This window comes from Homo sapiens, chromosome 15 (assembly GCF_000001405.40).
Source record: "Homo sapiens chromosome 15, GRCh38.p14 Primary Assembly".
NCBI classification, from domain to species: domain Eukaryota; kingdom Metazoa; phylum Chordata; class Mammalia; order Primates; family Hominidae; genus Homo; species Homo sapiens.
In genome coordinates this window covers 77,120,607-77,143,683 of record NC_000015.10, presented here as the reverse complement: position 1 = coordinate 77,143,683, position 23,077 = coordinate 77,120,607, and the positions used below count along the sequence as shown (strand labels likewise).

At 40.2% G+C, this 23,077-nt stretch overlaps 1 protein-coding gene across 34 annotated transcripts in view, besides 1 other annotated feature; it reads left to right on the top strand.

Moving 5' to 3' along the window:
• PEAK1 (pseudopodium enriched atypical kinase 1) overlaps positions 1-23,077 on the top strand; it is a 320,261-nt gene that overhangs the window by 277,231 nt on the left and 19,953 nt on the right. For all 34 annotated transcript variants that reach the window (XM_047433077.1, XM_047433076.1, XM_047433057.1 and 31 more), the window contains one exon: positions 9,934-10,679. In XM_047433077.1, coding sequence (XP_047289033.1) covers positions 9,934-10,679 — 746 coding nt within the window. The remainder of the gene's footprint in view (positions 1-9,933; positions 10,680-23,077) is intronic.
• Positions 6,034-6,584: an enhancer, noted in NCBI's record as "H3K27ac-H3K4me1 hESC enhancer chr15:77429442-77429992 (GRCh37/hg19 assembly coordinates)". NCBI's record gives its function as "activates a minimal SCP1, AML or CMV promoter by ChIP-STARR-seq in naive H9 embryonic stem cells {active_cell/tissue: H9 hESC(naive)}" and the evidence as "EXISTENCE:reporter gene assay evidence [ECO:0000049][PMID:30033119]".

Below are 23,077 nucleotides of genomic sequence, written 5' to 3'. Positions count from 1 at the left end.
AATATTTAAAGATGAGAGGAGTGGGAAACTATTCCTGGAAGAGGATCAGCATGAGCAAAGACACAAAGCACAAAGGAAGCGTAAAATTGGCCAAGAGTGCTGGAGAAACCGCAAGTAGTTTGGTGGCTCTGACTTAGGATATAAGAGGAAATGCGACGAGAAACAGGTATATCGGGGCCAGATCATGAAAGGCTCACTTTCTTTGCTTGAAGACGATCTTTAGGACAGAATTTTTTAAAGCAGAGAAGTGTCATGAAATGCTTTGGCGTTTGAAAAACATCTCTCTAGTGGTTTGTGTGGTGAGGGAGGTAAAACTGGAGACAGCAATAATAGGAGACTGTCACAGTTGTCAGGCAAGGATGATAGGGCCTCAGCTGGTGCAATTCACTGCTTCTAACCTTCTCCGTGGTGCTTCATCTCTGAAAGGTCTAGGTAAGCAACTGAAAAATTAGGACTTATTACAAAGCATACTTCTGTTGTCTTGTAAATAAACCATGGTCTGACGTCTCACATTAGCCAAGAGAAAATAGGGCTGGGGCAGCTTTGGGAAGGAGACCCCACCATCACAGGAAACATTCAGTAAATGCCAAGCCCCTACATCCTTAGTTAAGGGCACAGAGGAATGAGAAGATAAGACTGGAAACTGAATTGATGGTTGTTTCTAAGAATGGATTGTTGATTTTCTTTATTGAGATATAATTTATATTCCATAAAATTCACCCTACTAAAGTGTGCAATTCAGTTAGTTTTAGTATATTCACAGAATTTTGCAAGCATCACTAATGTCTAATTTCAGAGCATTTTCATCATCCCAAACAGAAACCCATTAGCAGTCACTGTCCATTCTCCCCTTCCCCCAGCCCCTTACAACAGCTAATCTACTTTCTGTCTCTATGCCTTTATATATTTCTGGAAATTTCATATAAGTGGAATCATATAATATGTGGTCATTTTTGACTGACTTCTCTCACTTAGCATAATGTTTTCAAGGTTTTTCCATGTTTTCAAGGTTTTTCCATGTTTTAGCATACATACATCAGTACTTCACTCCTCTTATGCCTGAATAATAGTCAATTGTATGGGTGTACCACATTTAATTTATCCATTCATCAGGTGATGGACATCTGGTTTGTTTCTACTTTTTGGCTATTATAAATGCTGCTGCTTATGAACATTTGCATATAAAGTTTTGGTGGACATGTTTTCAGTTGTCTTGGGTATATACCCAGGAGTCGAAATGCTGGGTCAAATAGTAACTGTATGTTTAACTTTTTGAGGAACTACCAAAATATTTTCCAAGATGGTGGCACCATTTTAGATTCCTACTAGCAATGTATAAGCATTTGAATTTCTCCACATCCTCACCAACACTTGCCTGTGTGTTTTATTACAGCTAACCTAGTAGATGTGAAATGATGTCTCAGTTTGCATTTACCTCATGAGTGATGATGCCAAACATCTTTCCACACACACTGGCCATTTATATATCTTCTTTGAAGAAATAGCTATGCAAATCTTTTACCCATTTTTACTTGGGTTATTTATCTTTTTCAAAAGAGTTCCTTATATATTCTGAATATAAGTCTCTTATCAGATATGTAATTTGAACATATTTTCTCCCATTCTGTGAGTTGTCTTTTTTACTTTCTTAAAGATGTCCTTTGAAGCATAAAAGTTTATAATTTTTATTGACTTCCAATCTACTTTTTCTTTTGTTACTTATACTTTAGGTATCATATCTAAGAAACCATTACCTAACCCAAGGTTGCAAAGATTTATTCCTACGTTTTTTCTAAGAGTTTTTAGTTTTAGCTCTTATATTTAAATTTTTCATACATTTTTAGTTAATTTTTGTGTATAGTGTGAGGTAGGGATTCAATAGCATTATTTTGCTTGAAACTGTTCTTTCCCTGTTGAATTGTTTTGGCAATCTTGTCAAAAATCAGTTGGCCTTAAATATAAGTGTTCACTTCTGCGCTCTCAAATATATTTCATTCATCTATATTTCTATTCTTACGCCAGTACCACGTACTCTTGATTACTATAATTTTGTAATAAGTTGGAGTTGGAAAGTGTAACTTTTCCAACTTTATTCTTTTTAAAGACTTTGACCACTCTAGGTTTCTTCTATTTCCATATGAATTTTAGGATGAGCCTGCCAGTTTCTGCAAGAAGTCTAACTGGAATTTTGATAGGGATTACATTAAATCTGTAGATCAATTTTGGGAATATTTCCCTTTTAACAATATAAAGTCTCTGATCCATGAGCATAAGATATCTTTCCATTTGCTTTTTAGTTTCTTTCAGCGATGTTTTATAGTTTTCAAAGTACAAGTCTTACACTAGTTTTGTTAGGTTTATTTCTGGTTACTTTATCCTTTTTGATGGTGTTGTAAATAGAATTGTCTTCTTAATTTTATTTTGGATCATTCATTTATAATGTATAGAAATGAATTGGTTTTTGTATGTTGATCTTGTATCCTGTAAACTTGCTGAACTGGTATATTCATTCTAATAGTTTTTTTGTGTGTGGATTCGCTACGCTTCTCAATATACACGATTATATTATCTGTGAATGATGAGATAGTTTTACTTTCCTCTTTACAATCTGGATGTCTTTATCTCTTTTTCTTTCCTAATATCCCTGACTAGAACCTCCTGTACAACGTAGAATAGAAATGGGTGAGGTGCAGTGGCTCACACCTGTAATCCCATCACTTTGGGAGGCCAAGGCAGGCAGGTCACTTGAGCTCAGGAGTTTGAGACCAGCCTGAGCAACATGGCAAAACCCTGTCTCTATGAAAAATAGTAGTCCTGGCTACTTGGGGGACTGAGGTGGAAGGATCACTTGAGCCTGGGAGGTCAAGGCTGCAGTGAGCCGAGATTGTGCCACTGCACTCCAGCCTGGGTGACAAAGGAAGACCCTGTCTGGGAAAAAAAAAAAAGACACAAAGAAAAAGAAAAAAAAAGAAATGGCAAGAACGCAAATCCTTGTCTTGTTCCTGATATTACAGGAGAAATTTCCAGTCTTTTATCATTAAGTATGATGTTAGCTCTTTTACAAAGATGCCCTTTCCTTTGTCAGGTTGAGGATGTTCTCTTCTGTTTCTAGTTCATTGAGTATTATTATTATGGAAAGGTGTTTGGTTTTATCAAATGTTTTTTCTGCATCTATTAAGGTGATTATGTGAGCTTTTTTCCCCCTTTATTCCATTGGCATGGTATATTACATTGATTGATTTTCAGATGTTAAACCAACCTTGCATTCCTGGAATAAATCCCACCTTGTTGTGGTGTATAATCCTTTTTTATATGTTGCTGGATTCGGTTTGCTAGCATATTGTGTAGATTTTCACATCTGTATTCATAAAAGACAGTCTCTAGTTTTCTTTTTATGTCTTTGTCTAGTTTTAGTATTTAGGTAATATTGGCTCCATTGAATTCAAGTTGGGAAGCATTCCTTCCTCCTGTTCTATTTTTTGGAAAAGTTTTCAAAGGATTGGTATTAATACTTCTTTAAACATTTGGTAGAATTCATCAGTGAAGCCATCTGGTCCTGGGTTTTCTTTGTGGGAATTTTTTAAAATACTAATTCAATTTCTTTCCTTATTATAGATATCTATACAATTTTACTACTTTCTGTCTTTCAGTAGTAAATATTTATTCCTTCATTCAAGAAGTTGTTATTGTTGATTCTATCTAGACCTTGTTCTTGGCACAGAGATTACAGCAGTGAATAAAACAAAAGCTCTGGCCGCCTTGAAGCTTAGCATTCTCATATTTTTTCTCTTCTCTTACTCTCTTGCTCTCTCTCTCCCCCTCCCTCCCTCTAAATATATACATATAGACACAATTTATATATATATTATATGTGTATATATATGTGTGTTGTTGTTTGTTTATATTTAATATTGTTCTATTACTTATAAAAATATTACTACATGACATGGGTGGAGAAAAGAGGTCCTTGAGTTTGCAATATATATTGCTGTAGCTTATATAAATTCTTAGATATTCTTGAAGAAAGTAGTGTGCATGGGAAATGGATATAGTCATGTGCTATATAATGATGTTTTGGTCAACAATGGACTGCACAAACAACACTGGTCTCATAGGATTATGATGGAGCTGAAAAACTCCTGTTACCTAGTGACATAGCCATTGTGACATCACAGCGCAAGGCATTACTCACGTGTTTGTGGTGATGCTGGTGTAAACAAACCTACTGCACTGCCAGTCATAAAAGTATAGCACATACAATTATGTATAGTACATAATACTTGGTGATAAACTACTGAGTTACTGGTTTGTGCATTTTCTGTACTATTACCATAACTTTAAAGTGTACTCCTACTTATTTTTTAAAAAACTGTAAAACAGCCTCAGGCATGTCCTTCAGGAGGTATACCAGAAGAAGGCATTGTTATCTTAGGAGATGACAGCTCCATGTGTGTTACTGCCCCTGAAGACCTGCCACTGGGACAGGATGTGGAGGTGGAAGACCGTGATATTGATATTCTTGACCCTGTGTAGGCCTTTGTCATCATTGTCCCTGTCTTCACATGGTGCTTTTTCTTATAAGGACACCAGTCATACTGGATTAGGGCCCACTCTAATGACCTCATCTTAACTTGATTACATCTACAAAGACTTTATTTCCAAATAAGGTCACATTCACATGTACCAGGGGTTAGGACTAGTAATATGTGTGTTTGTGTCTTCGTTTTTAACAAAAAAGTTTATAAAAAAAAAAGTTTTGTTTAAATAGGGAAAGATTTGTAGCATAAAGACACAAAGAAAAAACAATTTTTTTTTTTTTTTTGAGACAGAGTCTCGCTCTGTCACCCAGGCTGGAGTGCAGTGGTATGATCTCAGCTCACTGCAACCTCCGCCTCCCAGGTTCAAATGATTCTCCTACGTCAGCCTCCTGAGTAGCTGGGACTATAGGCATGCGCCACCATGCCTGGCTAATTTTTGTATTTTTAGTACAGACACGGTTTCCATGTTGGCCAGGCTGGTCTCAAACTCCTGGCCTCAAGTGGTCCACCCACCTTGGCCTTCCAAAGTGCTGGGATTATAGGCATAAGCCACCGTGCCTGGCCCAAAGAAAAAATATTTTGAAATAGTGTACAGTGTATCTTAAGCTAAGTGTTATTATAAAAGTTAAACAAAATTTATAAAGTTAAACAAAATTTAAGCTTATAAAGTTAAAAAGTTAAGTAAGCTAAGGTTAATTTATTATTGGAGAAAAATTTTTAAATAAATTTAGTATAGCCTAAGTATACAGTATATATAAAGTCTACAGGAGTGTATGGTAATAATATGCAAGGCCTTTACATTCACTCACCACTCACTCGGTGACTCACCCAGGGCTACTTCCAGTCCTGCAGGCTCCTTTCATGGTAAGTGCCCTATACAAGCATACCATTTTTTATCTTTTATACTGTATTTTTACTGTACCTTTTCTACATTTAGATACACAAGTAGTGTGTTAGTCCATTTTCACGCTGCTGATAAAGTCATATCCAAGACTGGGCAATTTACAAAAGAAGGAGGTTTATTGGACTTACAGTTCCACATGGCTGGGGAGGCCTCACAATCATGGTGGAAGGCAAGGAGGAGCAAGTCACATCTTATGTGAATGGCAGCAGGCAAAGAGAGAGCTTATGCAGAGGAACTCCTCTTTTTAAAACCGTCAGATCTTGTGAGACTTACTCACTATCATGAGAACAGCATGGGGAAGACCTGCCCCCATGATTCAGTTACCTCCCACCAGGTCCCTCCCACAACATGTGGGAATTCAAGATGAAATTTGGGTGGGGACACAGCCAAACCATATCATTCCACCCCTTGCCCCTCCCAGATCTCATGTTCTCACATTTCAAAACCTATCAGGCCTTTCCAACAGTCCCCTAAAGTCTTAACTCATTTCAACATTAACTCAAAAGTCCATAGTCCAAAGTCTCATCCGAGACAAGGCAAGTCCCTTCCACCCATGAGCCTGTAAAATCAAAAGCAAGTTAATTACTTCCTAGATACAATGCAGGTACAGTCATTGGGTAAATACAGCCATTCCAAATGGGAGAAATTGGCCAGAACAAAGGGGCTACAGGCCCCACACAAGTCCGAAATCCAGCGGGGCAGTCAAATCTTAAAGTTCCCAAATGATCTCCCTTGATTCCATGTCTTGCATCCGGGTCATGATGATGCAAGACATGGGTTCCCATGGCCTTGGGCAGCTCCATCCCTGTGGCTTTGCAGGGTATAGCCTCCCTCCCAGCTGCTTTGAGGGGCTGGCATTGAGTGTCTGTGGCTTTTCCACACACATGGTGCAAGCTGTCAGTGGATCTACCATTCTGGGATCTGGAGGACAGTGGCCCTCTTCTCACAGCTCCACTAGGCAGTGCCTCAGTAGGGACTCTGTGTGGGGGCTCCGACCCCACATTTCCCTTTCACACTGCCCTAGCAGAGGTTCTCCATGAGGGCCCGACCCCTGCAGCCAACTTCTGCCTCAGCATCCAGGTGTTTTCATACATCCTCTGAAACCTAGGCAGAGGTTCCCAAACCCCAGTTCTTGACCTCTGTGCACTCACAGGCTCAACGCCACATGGAAGCTGCCAAGGCTTGGGGCTTGCACCCTCTGAAGCCACAGCCTGAGCTCTACAGTGGCCCCTTTCAGCCATGGCTGGAGTGGTTAAGATACAGGGCACCAAGTCCCTAGGCTGCACACAGCAAGGGGACCCTGGGCCTGGCCCACGAAACTACTTTTTTCTCCTAGGCCTTCGGGCCTCTGATGGGAGGGTCTGCCGTGAAGACCGTTGACATGCCCTGGAGAAATATTTCCCATTGTCTTGGGGATTAACCTTCAGCTCCTCGTTACTTATGCAAGTTTCTGCAAATTTCTGCAACCAGCTTGAATTTCTCTTCAGAAAAATGGTATTTTATTTTCTATCACATTGACAGGCTGCAAATTTTCTGATTTTTATTTTATTTTTATTTTTATTTATTTATTTTTTTGGAGACGGGGTCTCACTCTGTCACCAATACTGGAGTACAGTGGCATGATCCCGGCTCACTGCAACCTCCACCTCCGAGGTTCAAGCGATTCTCCTGGCTCACCCTCCTGAGTAGCTGGGACTACAGGTGTCTGCCACCACACCTGGCTAATTTTTGTATTTTTAGTAGAGACAGGGTTTCACCATGTTGGCCAGGCTGGTCTCAAACTCCTGACCTCAAGTGATCCACCTGCCTCAGCCTCTCAAAGTGCTGGGATTACAGGCATGAGCCACTGCGCCAAACCAAATTTTCTGAACTTTTATGCTCTGCTTCCCTTATAAAACTGAATGCCTTTAACAGCACCTAGGTCACCTCTTGAATGCTTTGCTGCTTAGAAAATTCTTCTGCCAGATACCCTAAGTCTTCTCTCTCAAGTTCAAAGTTCCACAAATCTCTAGGGCAGGGCCAAATTGCTCCAGTCTCTTTGCTAAAACATAACAAGAGTTACCTTTGCTCCAGTTCACAACGAGTTCCTTATCTCCATCTGAGACCACCTCAGCCTGGACCTTATTGTTCATATCACTATCAGCACTTTTGTCAAAGCCATTCAACAAGTCTCCAGGAAGCTGCAAACTTTTCCACATTTCCCTGTCTTCTTCTGAGCCCTCCACACTGTTCTAACCTCTGCCTGCTACCTAGTTCCAAAGTTGCTTCCACATTTTCGGGTATCTTTTCAGCAACACCCCACTCTACTGGTACCAATTTACTGTATTAGTCCATTTTCACACTGCTGATAAAGACATACACGAGACCAGGCAATTTACAAAAGAAAGAGATTTATTGGACTTAACAGTTCCACATGGCTGGGGAGGCCTCACAATCATGGCAGAGAGCAAGGAGGAGCAAGTCACATCGTATGTGGATGGCAGCAGGCAAAGAGAGAGAACGTGTGCAGGGGAACTCCTCTTTTTAAAACCCTCAGATCTCATGAGACTTATTCTCTATCATGAGAACAGTACGGGAAAGACCTGTGCTGACTCAGTTACCTCCCACTGGGTCCCTCCCACAACATGTGGGAATTCAAGATGAGATTTGGGTGGGGACACAGCCAAACCATATCAAGTAATTAACATTGTGTTATAATTGCCCACAGTATTCAGTACAGTACCATGTTGTACAGGTTTGTAGCCTATAAGCAGTGGGCTATACCATATGGCCTAGGTGTGTAGTAGGCTGTACCATCTAGGTTCGTGTAAGTACACTCTATGATTTTTGCGTAATTATGAGATTGCCTAACTCTCTCAGAACTTATCCCTGTCATAAGCAACACTTACTATTACAATCCCAGATTATATTGGTGCTTACCGTTGACATGCTGCAAGGACGTGATTTTAACAAAACAAACCACCACCCCTATTCATTGTCATCCTCAGCACCATCCAGCACCTTCTACTCTATATGAACAATAGTAGGAGAATGTATGAGTTTCCTAGGACTGCTGTAAAAAAGTACCACAAATGGGTGGCTTAGAACAACACAAATATATTCTCTCACAGTTATGGAGGCTAGGAGTCTGAAATCAAGGTGTCAGCAGGACTGTGTTCCCTCTGAGACAGTGGGTAGATTCCTTTCTTGCCTTTGTCTGGCATCTGGTAGTGGCCATCAATGCTTGGTATTCCTTAGTCTGCACCTGTGTCACTCCAGACTCTGCCTCCAATGTCATGTAGTGTTTTCCCTCTCTGTCCCTGTCTTTACATGGTGTTTTTTCTTCTTATAAGGACATCAGCCATATTGGATTAGGGCCCGTCCTAATGACCTCATCTTAACTATTAAATCTACAGACTTCCAACAGGTCACATTCATAGGTACCAGGGGTTAGCACTTCAACATACCTTTTTGGGGGATATAATTCAACCCATAACAGAGCCTTATAACTCTGAGATCTTGAGTAGAGGCCTCATTTTAATAACAGAACTAATTTTTAATAGCCTTTATAGAAGTTTCATGTATATTTTTCTGTCTTTAAAAAATAATGTGTTCTCTCTGTTATACAATAAGCCCTGAAGGTATATTCAAACACACATGTGTTTTATCTTTTTCTAATCATAAATGCTGGAAACTAAGCACAGATGAATGGTTCTCTAACTAGGGCTTATAAAAGATGTTGAAAGATAGTATCTCTCAAATCACAATGTATATGCCCACCAAAATAAAAGAGAATCACATAAGAGTTTGGGAATTCGTGTTCAGAACAGAAGTTGACTGCTCATATACACTGTTCCCCTTACCACAATCACAGGAATCTTTTACGTAGACCAGTTTAAGCAATGTCAGAATCCATCTCTATAGTAAAATAAATAGCATGGCTTTTGAAATTGTATTCATGTGTTGGAAAATGTTATATGCATGACAAATGCTATATATAATACAATGTAACTTTGGAATAAAAAGAACAGAATAGTATCTTCTGAGCCCCTGTCTAATGGTCACATTGCTAGTTTCAATTCTGTTTGTAATAAAGCTCCCAAGTATTTTCTTTATCCACAATGCTATCATCTCTACTCTGTCACAATCCAAGTATATTCGAGTGTCTGTCATCCCTTAATATTCTGGTGTGGTGAATATATAGCACTCTGAAGGGTGGGACTGGAGAATCTGGTTTCCTTTTTGAAAACAAAACTCATCACCCAAACCAGTGCCCTGTTCCTAGACAAGGCCAAGACATTATGCATATTTGTCGTTCCCACCAAGGCTTGGATACTTCAATGTTTAGGTATTTGTTCTTTGGTTGTTCTCTTTTCCCATTTTGAACTAAAGAGTTGACTTATTCTTACATTCCCATGGCTACCTCACTCATTTCTGCTCAAGTTTCAGTTATAAAATTAGATTGAAAACTTTACTTACTCTTTTCTTTTTATTGCTTTAAAAACAATACAGGGCAATCTAGAGCAGCCATGATACCTCCCAAGCAGCCACGACAGCCCAAGGGAGCTGTGGACGATGCCATCGCCTTTGGAGGGAAAACAGACCAAGAAGCACCCAATGCTTCCCAACCTACACCACCCCCACTGCCAAAGAAGATGATCATAAGAGCCAATACAGAGCCAATCTCCAAGGACCTCCAAAAATCCATGGAAAGTAGTCTTTGTGTCATGGCTAATCCCACCTATGATATCGACCCCAACTGGGATGCCAGCAGTGCTGGTTCTTCCATCAGCTATGAACTCAAAGGACTGGACATTGAGTCTTATGACTCCTTGGAAAGGCCTTTGCGCAAGGAGAGACCTGTCCCCTCAGCAGCAAACAGCATTTCCAGCTTAACCACTCTCAGTATTAAGGATAGATTTTCCAACAGCATGGAATCCCTCTCCAGCCGGCGTGGGCCCTCTTGCAGACAGGGCCGAGGCATCCAGAAGCCGCAGAGACAAGCACTTTATCGAGGACTTGAGAATCGGGAGGAAGTAGTGGGTAAAATCCGAAGCCTTCATACAGATGCCTTGAAGAAACTGGCTGTTAAATGCGAAGACCTTTTCATGGCTGGGCAGAAAGACCAGCTCCGTTTTGGAGTGGACAGCTGGTCAGACTTCAGGCTAACCAGTGACAAACCATGTTGTGAGGCAGGTGATGCGGTTTACTATACTGCTTCATATGCAAAAGATCCACTTAATAACTATGCAGTCAAGGTAAGAAAATATTATAAATCTCATGTTAAGTCTTAACCACTACATTGTTACTGGGATGGATTCATTCTGCTTTTCTCCTTTCTTTCCTTCATTCTTCCATTCAGCAAATTATTGAGCATCTACCTCTTACCAGATACTAGATTAAGCAGGGGGCTTATTTATTATTTAAAGAAAACAGATACGTAACTTAACAGAATTACAACAGTATACTGCATGCAAAGATAGAGGTAAACAAGAATTCTATGGGATCTTGGAGATACCTTAACCCAAACTCAAGAAGTCAAAGAAGTCTTTTTTTTTTTTTTTTTTGAGATGGAGTTTCACTCTTGTTGCCCATTGTGGAATGCAATGGTGCAATCTCGGCTCACTGCAACCTCCGCCTCCCAGGTTCAAGCAATTATTGTGCCTCAGCCTCCCGAGTAGCTGGGATTACAGGTACCTGCCACCACGCCCCGCTAATTTTTATATTTTTAGTGGAGATGGGGTTTCACCATGTTGGCCAGGCTGGTCTCAAACTCCTGATCTCAGGTGATCCTCCCGCCTTGGCCTCCCAAAGTGCTGGGATTACAGGTGTGAGCCACCATGCCCAGCCAAAGAAGTCCTTTTAAAGTAGGTAACCTGGCCAGGCATGGTGGTTCATGGCTATAATCCCAGCACTTTGGGAGCCCAAACCAGGTGGATAGCTTGAGCCCAGGAGTTCGAGACCAGCCTAGGCAACGTGGTGAAACCCTGTCTCTAAAAAAAAAAATAGAAAAAATTAGCCAAATGTAGTGGCTCATGCCTGTAGTCCCAGCCACCCAGGAGGCTGAGGTGGGAGGATCACCTGAGCCCAGGAGGTCAGGGCTGAAGTGAGCCATGATCGGGTCACTGCACTCCAGCCTGGGCAACAAAGTGAGACCCTGTCTCAAAAAAAAAAGTAGGTAACCCTTGAGCTTTGCTTTTTGCAAGGGCTACCTAAAAATATGAGGTCTGTTATGTACCTTTCACTGCATGTTTCTGTCTTTTTTTTAGGCTGGAGTGCAGTGGCATGATCATAGCTCACTGCAGCCTCAGGTGTGTGCCACCACATGACTGATTTTTTTGGTTTTGGTAGAGGTGGTGGTCTCACTATGTTGCCCAGGCTGGTCTCAAACTCCTGGCTTCCAGTGATCCTCCCACCTTGGCCTCCCAAAGTGCTGGGATTACAGGCATGAGCCATCATACCTGGTTTATGTTTCTGACTTTACCCTTTACCAGCTAAGAAATGCTTGTCTACCTCTGCTCTGTAACTCCTTTGCTCCCTAGAGAAACATTTTTATAGAGGAGGATAACTAATGTTTATTGATGTTCCTGGAACTATATTTTTGTTATGTAATTTAATCTTCACATCAACTTTATGAGATTAAGATCTTTTTCTCCATTTGACATATGAGGAAAATGAAGCTCCAAGAAGTAGGCTGACTTGGTTAGGATCACACAGCTAGCAAGTGGTAGAGCTGAGTTTTTTGTTGTTGTTTTTGTTTTGTTTTGTTTTGAGATGGAGTCTCACTCTGTTGCCAGGCTGGAGTGCAGTGGCACGATCTTGGCTCACAGCAACCTCTGCCTCCCGGGTTCAAGCGATTCTCCTGCCTCAGCCTCCCTTGTAGCTGGGACTATAGGTGTGCACCACCATGCCCAGCTAATTTTTGTATTTTTAGTAGACACGGGGTTTCACCGTGTTGGCCAGATGGTCTCAATCTCTTGACCTCGTGATCCGCCCACCTTGGCCTCCCAAAGTGCTGGGATTACAGGCGTGAGCCACCATGCCTGGCCAGAGCTGAGTTTTAATCACAAATATTTCTGACTCCATAGCTGTATTTTGTCCATTGTGCCACTTATCAATTTCTTACATGTGGATTGCTTATTTCAGATAACCCACTTCTTCAAGACAGCTAAACTCTTGACATCAAGAATTCTTGCCCAGTTACATTCACTGTAGCAGAAAGCCATAGGTTTCATCAATATAATAAATAAAGTGTGGACTTTGAAGTCCAAAAGATTTGGGTTCAGATCCTGGTTCTGCCTCTTAGTAGCTTTGTCAATAATGGCACCCATCTTATGGAGCTGTTGTTTGGTTAAAAGAAAACAAAATGTCCCTAATAACTGTTCATTTCATTAACTAGCCACTAGCTTCTTCCCTAGGTTACTTTAAGAGAGTAACAATCTTTGAGCCTCAATTTCCTCCTCTTTCAGATGTTTACAGTGAGTGTAGGATCAAGTGAGATAATGCATATGAAAGGTTTTTGAAGAACACAAAGCCCTATATGTAAACTTAAGGTAGTGTCCTCCATTCCCATAGTCCCTTTTTACTGATTCTATTCACTGGTTCAAAACCAATTAACATATCTAAATGACTTTTACATGTTAATTAGGCTTAGAAAGACCAGATGGTATCTTAGCAAATTAATGGATAAGGTAACGATTGGCCTTACCTGTCTATCAAGACAGAATGTATGTTTGAAACAGACCTTCAGCTAGCTACCCTCTGCAGTTACAGTATCTACACCAGTTGACTGTCTGATGTCACTGGCAGAGTAACCCTGTGCTCCAGCTCACACTTTTTAAATTAAACTGAGGGATAAACTGTAAAGAGGGGGATCTGGATTCAAGTTAATACATTACTATTGAGTTTAAAAAGGTATTTTGAGATTCTATATAGCACTTAAGAGCTGTTATATAAATTGAGGTTATGGTGCCTTATCTATCTTGGGCCCTTATTGCTGCAAAATCACCAATGCAGGATGAGTACCTGTTTCAGAAAGGGACATTGAACTATCTGTTCTTTCAAAACAGTTGAGAAGTAGGACTTGACTAACTTTATGTATTATTGCCGTGGAATCTTGTCTCTTTCCCAAATCAGTGGTCTGGTATTGATTTCTTTGCTTATAATGATGTAAAACCAATCTCCAAAGAACAGATGGCAAGTGGTTATATACTAGGAGTTGTTGGCAGGTTTGGAAAAGGATATTTTACACTAAATGCTAAATATAAATGTCTCTTTTAAGACCCTCTGGTATTGCCAGAAGTGCCCAATTGATTGTACTATTAGGGCTCTGTGAACCCTGTCTTTGCAGAGATAAGCAAAAGACACTAACAGTTGGCCCACACAAACAACTTTTTCTGTTTATCTTCTTAAATTCCCTTCCCATACTAAGGGAATTTATAATAGTCTAAAGGGTGTAACTGTCTCTTAAAGAGACTAAAAGTTCTTTAAAATGTTGCAAACAAAAAGTCAGTGGTAGACTGGGCGTGGTGGCTCACGCCTGTAATCTCAACAGTTTGGGAGGCTGAGGCAGATGGATCACCTGAGATCAGGAGATGGAGACCAGCCTGGCCAACATGGCAAAACCCCGTCTCTGCTAAAAATACAAAAAAAAAAAAAAAATAGCCAGTCATTGTGGCGGGCACCTGTAATCCCAGTTACTCGGGAGGCTGAGGCATGAGAATTGCTTGAACCCAGGAGGCGGAGGTTGCAGTAAGCTGAGGCACTGCACTCCAGCCTGGGCAACAGAGTGGGACAACATATCAAAAAAAAAAAAAAAATCAGTGGTAGAATTTAGCAATTTGAAAGCCAAAGGATATCACCCCTCATCCTTAAATACCAAATCCACTGCAGTCATAGAGTACTAACTGTATGTTATTTTAGTTTGCTCAAGTTGTGTAACAACACACCATATTCTATATGACTTAAACAACAGAAATTTATTTTCCCTATTTCTGGAGGCTAAAAAATTCAAGTTCATGGTTCCAACTTATTTGCTTTCTGGGGAGGGCTTTCTTCCTGGCTTACAGCCAGCCACCTTCTCTTTGTGTCCTCACATGGCAAGGAGTGAGGGAGAGAGGAAGGAAGAGAGTGCAAGGGAGAGGCTATGCACTGGTATCTCTTATAAGGACACCAGTTCTATTGTATCAGGGCCCTATGCTTATGACCTCATTTAGCCTTAATTACCTCTTTGTAGGTACTGTCTCACATTGGGGGTTAAGGATTCAACATATGAGTTGGTGGTGGGGAACACATAATTTAGCCCATAGCACTCTACCTCTAACCCATCCTGCCTCAGAATATCTGTCCTTATAGCATGCAAAACACATTCCAACAGCTCCAAAAGTCTTATTTATGACAGCATCAACTCTAAAGTCTAAAGTCCAAAGTCTCATCTAAATATCATCTAAATCAGATATGGGTGAGATTCAAGGTATGATTTGTCCTGAGGCTCTCCAGTTGTGAACCTGTGAAACCACAAGTTACATGCTTACAAAATACAACTGTGAACAGGCATAGGATAGACATTCCCATTCCAAGAGAAAGAAATCAGAAGGAAGAAAGGAGTGATAAATCCTGAGCAATTCCAAAACCTGGCAAGTCAAGTTCTATTAAATCTTCGGCCCAAGAATAATCCTCTTTGGTTTGATACTCTCCCCTGCAAGCCCACTGGGGTGGCACCATCACCACCATGGCTCTGCATAGTGGCGCAATACTGAGGCACTGGTCATGGTTATCCTAGCCTACCAGATCTCAAGAGGCAGCTTCACCCTTTGAAACTGAGGATGGAACAGCCTTGCCTACTGGTCCTTTGGTGGGAAAAGCAGCCCTGATGTTTCTGTATCACTTTCAGGATCATTCTTCCCTTTCCTTGAAGAACAGTACATGTTTGCAGCCAAATAGCTCTCTGGGCTAGTCCTGTAGAATCCAAGTTCAGTAGCCTTCCTTTATTTTGTCCCACTTTGTCCCTTTTAATTCAAACTGGCAATGTCTTTGCTGGTATAATCCCATTATTATCCCTGACTTGTGCTGAGATGGCTGGTTAAGTCCATAAGTCATATCCATCTTCTCTGTATCAAATAGTTGTTTAGCCACACCCTTGGTATTCTCTTAGAACAAGCTTTCCCTTTTTTTTTTTTTTTCTTGAGATGGAGTCTCACTCTGTCACCCAGGCTGGAGTGCAGTGACACGATCTCGGTTCACTGCAGCCTCCACCTTCCAGGTTCAAGTCATTCTCCTGCCTTAGCCCCCCAAGTAGCTGGTATTACAGGCGTCCGTCACCACACCAACTGCTTTTTGTATTTTTAGTAGAGACAGGGTTTCACCATGTTAGCCAGGCTGGTCTTAATCTCCTGACCTCAGATGATCCACCCGCCTCAGCCTCCCAAAGTACTGGGATTACAGGCATGAGCCACAACGCCTGGCCTCACCGTTTTCACAGTATGGATAGACTGCAAATTTTCCAAGTCTTCACGTTCTGGTTTCTTTTTGCTCAACAATTCCTTTTTCAGTTCGTCTCTCTCCTTTCACATTTTATTATAAGCAGTCAGGAGGAACCAAGCCACTCCTTCACTTTGCTTAGAAATCTCAATTGCATCTCTTGCAAGTTTTGTCTTCTACAAAACACAGTCCTGCTAAGTTCTTTGCCACGTTATGACAAGGATTCCCTTTCCTCCAGTTTCCAATAATGTTCCTTGTTACTATCAGAAACCTCATCAGAATCGCCCCTAGCATCCATATTTCTAGCAACTATCTGTTCATGGTTATCTGGGCTTTTCCTCACATGCATCTCAAAACTCTTCTAGCCTCTACCCAATTCCAAAGCTGCTTCTACCTTTTAAAGTATTTTTACAACAGCACACCACTTCTCAGTATCAAAATCTCATTCTGCTCAGGCTGCCATAACAAAATACCATAGACTGAAAAGGATAAATTTATTTTCTCACAGTTATGGAGGCTGGAAGACCCAAGATCAAGGTTCTAGCTGATTTGGCTTCTAGTGAGGGCTCTCTTCCTGGCTTACAGATAGCCTTCTTCTCACTGTGCCCTTACATGACAGGGAGAGAGAGAGAGCGTGAGAGAGAACACAAGAAGCATGTGCAAGCACGCCCCAGTGTCTGTTCTTAGAAGGACACTAATCCTGTCACATCATGGCCCCACTCTTATGATCTCTTTTAATTAATTACCTCCTTGTTAGCCCTGTCTCCAAAATGCAGTAACATTGTGGGCTAGGGCTTCAACATATGAAGAGGTTGGGGAGAGAGACAATTCTGTCCATAGCAGGTGTCATGTTTGTCTTTGTTATAAAGTAAGTGGTTTTAACTCAGGGCTTTTCCTGGATTTGAAGGTTTTCCTCTTTCATATTTATTCTAATCTTCATTCAACATGATTAGCTTTATTATTTGTATTGGTCTTAAATGAAAAGGCATCACAGCACTGAATAAAGAGCTTTGGAGTCAGCTGACCTGGGTCCAAGTTCTGAAGATATCACTGTGTATTTTTATGCAAGTCATGCGCCTCTCTTGGTTTTCACATCAGTGTATATTAACTGCCCTACTTATCTCAGATGATTGTTATAGTACATGTGTTTATGTAGTGAAACAGTTTTATAAACTGTAAAGTACATATAAAATAATGCATTATTGTTATTAACAATAATGGAAAATTGCTGCTCAACATCTTATAGATCACTCACTATTATTCTTTCTTAACATTAGGCTTTGGCTTGAGCATATTAGATAGGTTCTGCACTTAGGTATTCTTTCTCTTTACTTCAGAGATGTAAACATCTTTGTTTTTCCTTAAAATTATGAGAGAAAGCTACAGACAGCTTCAAGAATTTAAGTATTTCCAAAAATTGGAAACAAACTAGGTACCTTATATTAAGGAACCAATATAATAAATTATGGCACATAAGTCCAATGGAATGTTTGTAGCTGCTAAAAGCAGTAATTATGAAGACTACGTAAAATTATGAAAAACATTTTTTAAATGTCACATGAAAGTAGCAGAATACTAATAACATGATCATAACTTTAAGAAAATTGACCTACAAAATGGTAATACTCAAATAATTCCTATGTCAAGCTGGTAACAGTTATTTTGATTAGTTAAAAAATGATGTCCTAATGTCTTTTCAATTAAAAAACAAGAATCAGATTTTGGATCATTAAACACTAAGCTTATTGAAAACAGGTATCCTTAGTTATTCATCTCTGTAGTCCCATCCTCTAGTACCAATTATAAACAGCACCTGTTTAATGCTACTCGGCTTTGGCACACTCTGGTTCCTCTCTCTGGACTGCTCTTCTCCTGGGAGGCAGTATAATACAATAAAGAACTTCTGCATTGTGATCTGCTGTGACCTATTTCAGAATCACCTGAGGGATCCTCATTAAAAATGTCATTTCCTACAGAATCAGAATGACTGGCAGTAAGGCCTTGGAAACTGCATTTGTAGCAAGTACCCCAAGCGGTGCCTAGGTACAAAATGTGAGGACTGTTAACAAAGTGGCTAAGAATTTAGGCTTTTAAGTCAGACAGACCTGGGTTTAAATCTGTGCTTTAGCTACATATTAGCTGTTACCTTTGCCATTACTTGCCTTTTCTATATCCAGTGTCTTTATCTGTAAAATGGAAAAAATACTTCAGGTCTTCTTAAAACCATTGTAAAAAATCACAGAAGTTAATATGTATGTGGTGATATATATACACACACACACACATACACACACACACACACACAGTGCTGAGAGCATCATTTGGCACAAAGTTAAGCATTTAGTAAAAGTTGGTTATTCCTTCCTTTTCACATACTTAGAAAGCTCCTATGTATTCTTAAAGAATCCAGCTCTGAATTTTCTACTTTAATTTTCTGAGCACATGTTGCACGCTATACCTACTGGATTTCTTGATCATTGCATTATCATGAGACAGTTGTATAATTAAACAAAAACATGCTTCCTCTCCCCTCTCCCCACTATTATACTTGACCTTTTCCATGGCGGGGACCATGGCTTATTAATTCTTATATCCTTAGCATCTATTATAATATCATGTCCATAGCTGGCATTCAATAAATATTTCTTGACCCTTCAAAAAATGTTTACTGTATAAAACATTGTGATATTTGTTGTAGTTTACAGAAATACATATGAATGAAACAAAGGCCTTGCCCTCAAGAAGCTTATATTCCAGTAAGAAAGACAAAGGCATAAATAATAGCTCTTAAAACAGATTATAATGAAAGTTCAGAGTGGTATGCAGAGATGTAAAGATAAATGAAGATTAATGAATGAAATAAGTTATTAACACATATCTTGGGGCCAATAAGAAAGGGCCTTTTGTATCCACTTTGCTATTCTTTGTGGTAAATGCAGTACATTGAGAGAATAGTGGAAAATTAGGCTACGGAGAGATTAGAGAACAAATTTAGAGATTTGAGTGATGAGCTTAAGAGGTTAGACTTTATTTTGTGTTTTGTGGGAAGCCACTAAGTATTTTTAAACAGAAATAACATAAGATTTTGGATGACAACTATGGTAAGAGAGGTCAGAAGGACTGGAAGCAAGGAAGCCAGTCATTATGCTATTGCAGTAGTCCAGGTAAAATGAGACCTGATGTAAGGCAAAGGAAAAGAAGGGGCAGATGGCTAAAGAGCTGAGGAAGGCAGTAGACCATGTCTGGTGAGTATGGGATTAGGGCAGTGATGCTAAAATTTCAAGGTAGAACAACCTCCAAGAGAATGGTGATGCCATTAGTTGAAATATGAATCAGAAAAGCCAGAAAGATGAGATCTCAATGGGTTATGCCCATAGGGCAGCCAAGTTGAAAGAACCCCAGGAACCAGGTAAAAATATGGGTTTGGTACTCAGAAGAGAGCTCAAGCCTAGAAATGTGGTCATAGACTTGATTTAGTTGAAACTGTGGGACTACATGAGATTGTAATGGAAGAGTCTGCAAAGTGGGAAAAGGCCCACACATCTAAGTGACCCAAAGCAGGAGCAATTGGAAAATCTGTAGCAAAAGGCAGGGCCCTACAGGCCAGAGAGTCCAAGGTTGCAGAGGGCTTGTGCAGAATGAAGACTCAGAAGAAGGCAAGAATTTAATGTCTTGTAAGCCTCAAGAAAATGCAATGTTGGTAATAATTGGGGTGAATGCCAGACACAGTGAGTTAAAGAGCGAATAGGAAGAGGAAGCTGTGGAGGCAGTGAGCACAGCCTACTTTTTAAATAAATGTTTTGGTGAAAGAAGAGCCAAATTGATTTCCAAACAATATTTAATTTTCAACTCCCATTTTCCATCTCATCCATATCTTCTTTTATCCTCTCTTCCCCATTTGATGAGCCACCACCCAGATTGCATTGTCTGTCTCTGTGGGCTATATATTGGCTGGCCTTCTGCCGTTAACTTAAATATTCCTGCTCGCAAAGTAAAACTTAACATAAACTTAAGCCTGAACTTAACTTCCCTGTTCTCTAAATAAAAATCTACCTTGCTTTTTCCCTTTCAAAGAATCTGGGTAAGCACTGACCAAGTACATAATCCTCATATCCTCATAGTAGACTAAATCCTCATATCTAAATCCATAGTAGACTAATCCCTCATATCCTCATAGTAGACTAAAGCCAATTTTAGAAGGGCCTTCACCATTCTACACAGTGGGAAACTAAGGCCAGAGAGGAACAATCACTTCTGCATGGGGACACCATCTTCGTGGCAGGCTACCTCCTGACTCCTAGGTAGAACCTCTCCTATTATTTCATGCCTGAAGCAGTAAACTGACCTTGCTGTGTCTCAGTGTTGTTTCTTGATGGAAAAATGACAGCCTTTTGCTTAGAATCAGGATGGACAGTTGGCAAAATTATGGCTTAGTATCACTGAGATATTGTTTTTTCATTGCACTTATGAGATCATTTTATAAAAAGTACTACCATGCGAGACCACAGAGGAAATTTGGATGCAGTTACTTTGAAGAGGATGCTAAAAATTTCACATAAGCAAAAAGTATAAATTTTTTAGTTATTTTCCAACAGTTCCAGAATTGGGATAGTAGGTATCTTTAAAGTAGTCCCAGTCTTTGTTCTCAAGGATAGAACACACAAAACTCAGTAAAGATGTACACTTCCCTGTTACAAAAGCGGGGCTGCTTCCTTTCTTCCGGCTATGCCAGAATCTTGTTAAAAGCTTGTAATAATGTAGAGGTGAACTGTGGAGACCAACATCTTTTACTGCATTTTTGACTCCAGAGTCTCCGTTTATCTCATTTGGGTGGATGCTGACAAAACAAGATACTAAATGAAAAAGCATTACAGGAACAACTATGATTGGTAGGAATTTACAACTAGTTCAGACTATATATACAGACAATTAATTACTGGCTTAGTGGTGAGGAAAAAACTAGAGGGGAAACCACTTCCACTTTCATAATTCAAAATAAATATTTTTAACAGTGAAACTTTACAGAAAGTGATTGATCAGCAGCCAACTACACATACTCATGGCCATCCTAGTTTTGTGTCCGTTTTGTTTCAGGCTCAGTGCATACAGAAGCACCTGAGTCTCAACTGGGAATTGATTTAGGAAGGAGAGGTTTTGGATGTTTGTGTAAACCTGGAATCAAAATGAGTTGTCTGGTGGGAAAAGGGAGCATGGCTTTAATTAATGAGGTGAGAGGATATAGTTGAGAATCACAAGTTGGAATTCAAGTTAATTGAATTCCTAATGTGGGCCCTGAGCTGGTTATTGGACTACTCTGTGCCTCAGTTTCTCTAGTGTGAACATCCTGGGCATCATTCTGTCAGCCTAAATTACTGGCTCAGGAACACAAGTTATTTTCATTGGATACACATGCTGAGTGGGAGAGTGAAAAGCTTTGGTGAGTACAAGTCACAAATAAAATGGTGAAATCTTACACAGTTACCTTCTTGAATTTCTCTTCTAGGATCCAAAATCACTTTCTTGGGCATGTGAACATTTTTGCAGCAATTCAAGCTGTAAATTATCTGGCCTACCCAACAGTTCTCATAGCAGATTCCTACAACATGGAGTCCTGAGTACTTTGGGCCCACACAGCGTTTTATATATTAAACACTTAATCTATTTTGAATATAGTTGTAACAGCATTGAGTGTGTGTGGGTCTTAGCTCTGTAGCAGCAAGTATAGCAATACTCCTCCTAGGCAGATCAAGGAATTGAGGTCAATCACTGATCAGCCTGTATTCTTAGAGTGGGATTATACCAAATACTGGATATCAATTTAGAAGTTGCAGGGTTTCATTCTATGCTCACTCCCATTTGCAGTTGTACTTTTGTGTGATATGACAAAATGGCACAGATGGTGTAATGTGTATGATTGTTAATGTTTCTCATTTTTGTCCCTCCACAATTCATTCCCTATAGCATCCATCTCACTTAAGGTTCACTGAGGCACTATAGAATGCATAGAGTGAGATGGAAATGAGATTCCCTGCTGATAAACTGGAAGTAGGCTGAAGGCATACTGGGCCCATAATGGAAAAATCAGAGCTAATGTAGAATATTTTTGAAGAGTCTTATATTTTGTAATTATTGCTTTCTTTGGGGCAAAGGAGAGAAAATTGAATCGAATGACAGAGAGCCATGTTGTTTTGTAGTTTTGTGCAGTACAAAATCAGCAAGCCCCCAGGGCAGCCTGGACTCAACAGACAGCCCTCACTGATCAGATTTCACTCATTTGTGTAGTCAGGTCATTCATGAGTGTTTATTATTCAGGTTTATCTGCCGTTGCCCCCACCCCATCACCTTGCCAACTTTTATCTGTTTCATAAAAGCTGTTCATATATTCTACCTGTTCCGAGTAAATAAGCCCTATGGCAGCACTGGATCAGATGCTGCCTTTTCTCAGAATCTTTTACAGACATATGGAGCAAGTACTACGTGCCTTGCTCTGTGCTAGGCCCTAAAGATACAAGTATCTGCTTGTAAGATAGACAAAAAAATGTCAGAGGAGGGAGGAAAGGGGACAAGGGTTGCAAAACTGTTGGGTACTGTGTTCAGTACCTGGGTGATGGGATCAGTTGTACCTCAAACCTCAGCATCATGAGATATACCCAGGTAGCAAACCTGCACATGTACCCCCTGAATCTAAAATAAAATTGAAAAAAATTATAAAAAACAAAAATTTTTTAAAGATAAAAAATGTGATAACTGCAATAATAGAGATATGTACAAGATATAGAAGTAACACAGAAAGGGGGTTTAGGGTATTTAGCACTTCCTCTCTCTGATAAAGTAATGCCTGAGAAGGGCTTTAAAAGAAGTAGGAATCCCTCAGGCAGATGAGGGGTGACAAGGAGCCCCAAACTGAGAGAACACCTGGAGGGTAGAGTGGGTGGCCGGCTGCAGATAGCTCAATATAGTAAGAGCAAATGGAACACAGGTGGGAAGTAGGACTGGAAAGGGAGGCAAGGCCAGGACTTTCTCCTATGAGGATAAAGCGGAGCCGCTAGGAAATTTAAATAAGGAGGAAATACCAGCTGTTGTTTTTTAATGGCTCTGTAGCCATGTGGAAGATGTATTCGAGGGGATCACATTAGAGGCAGGCAGACCAGTTGGAAAGCTTTTGTGGTTGTCCAGG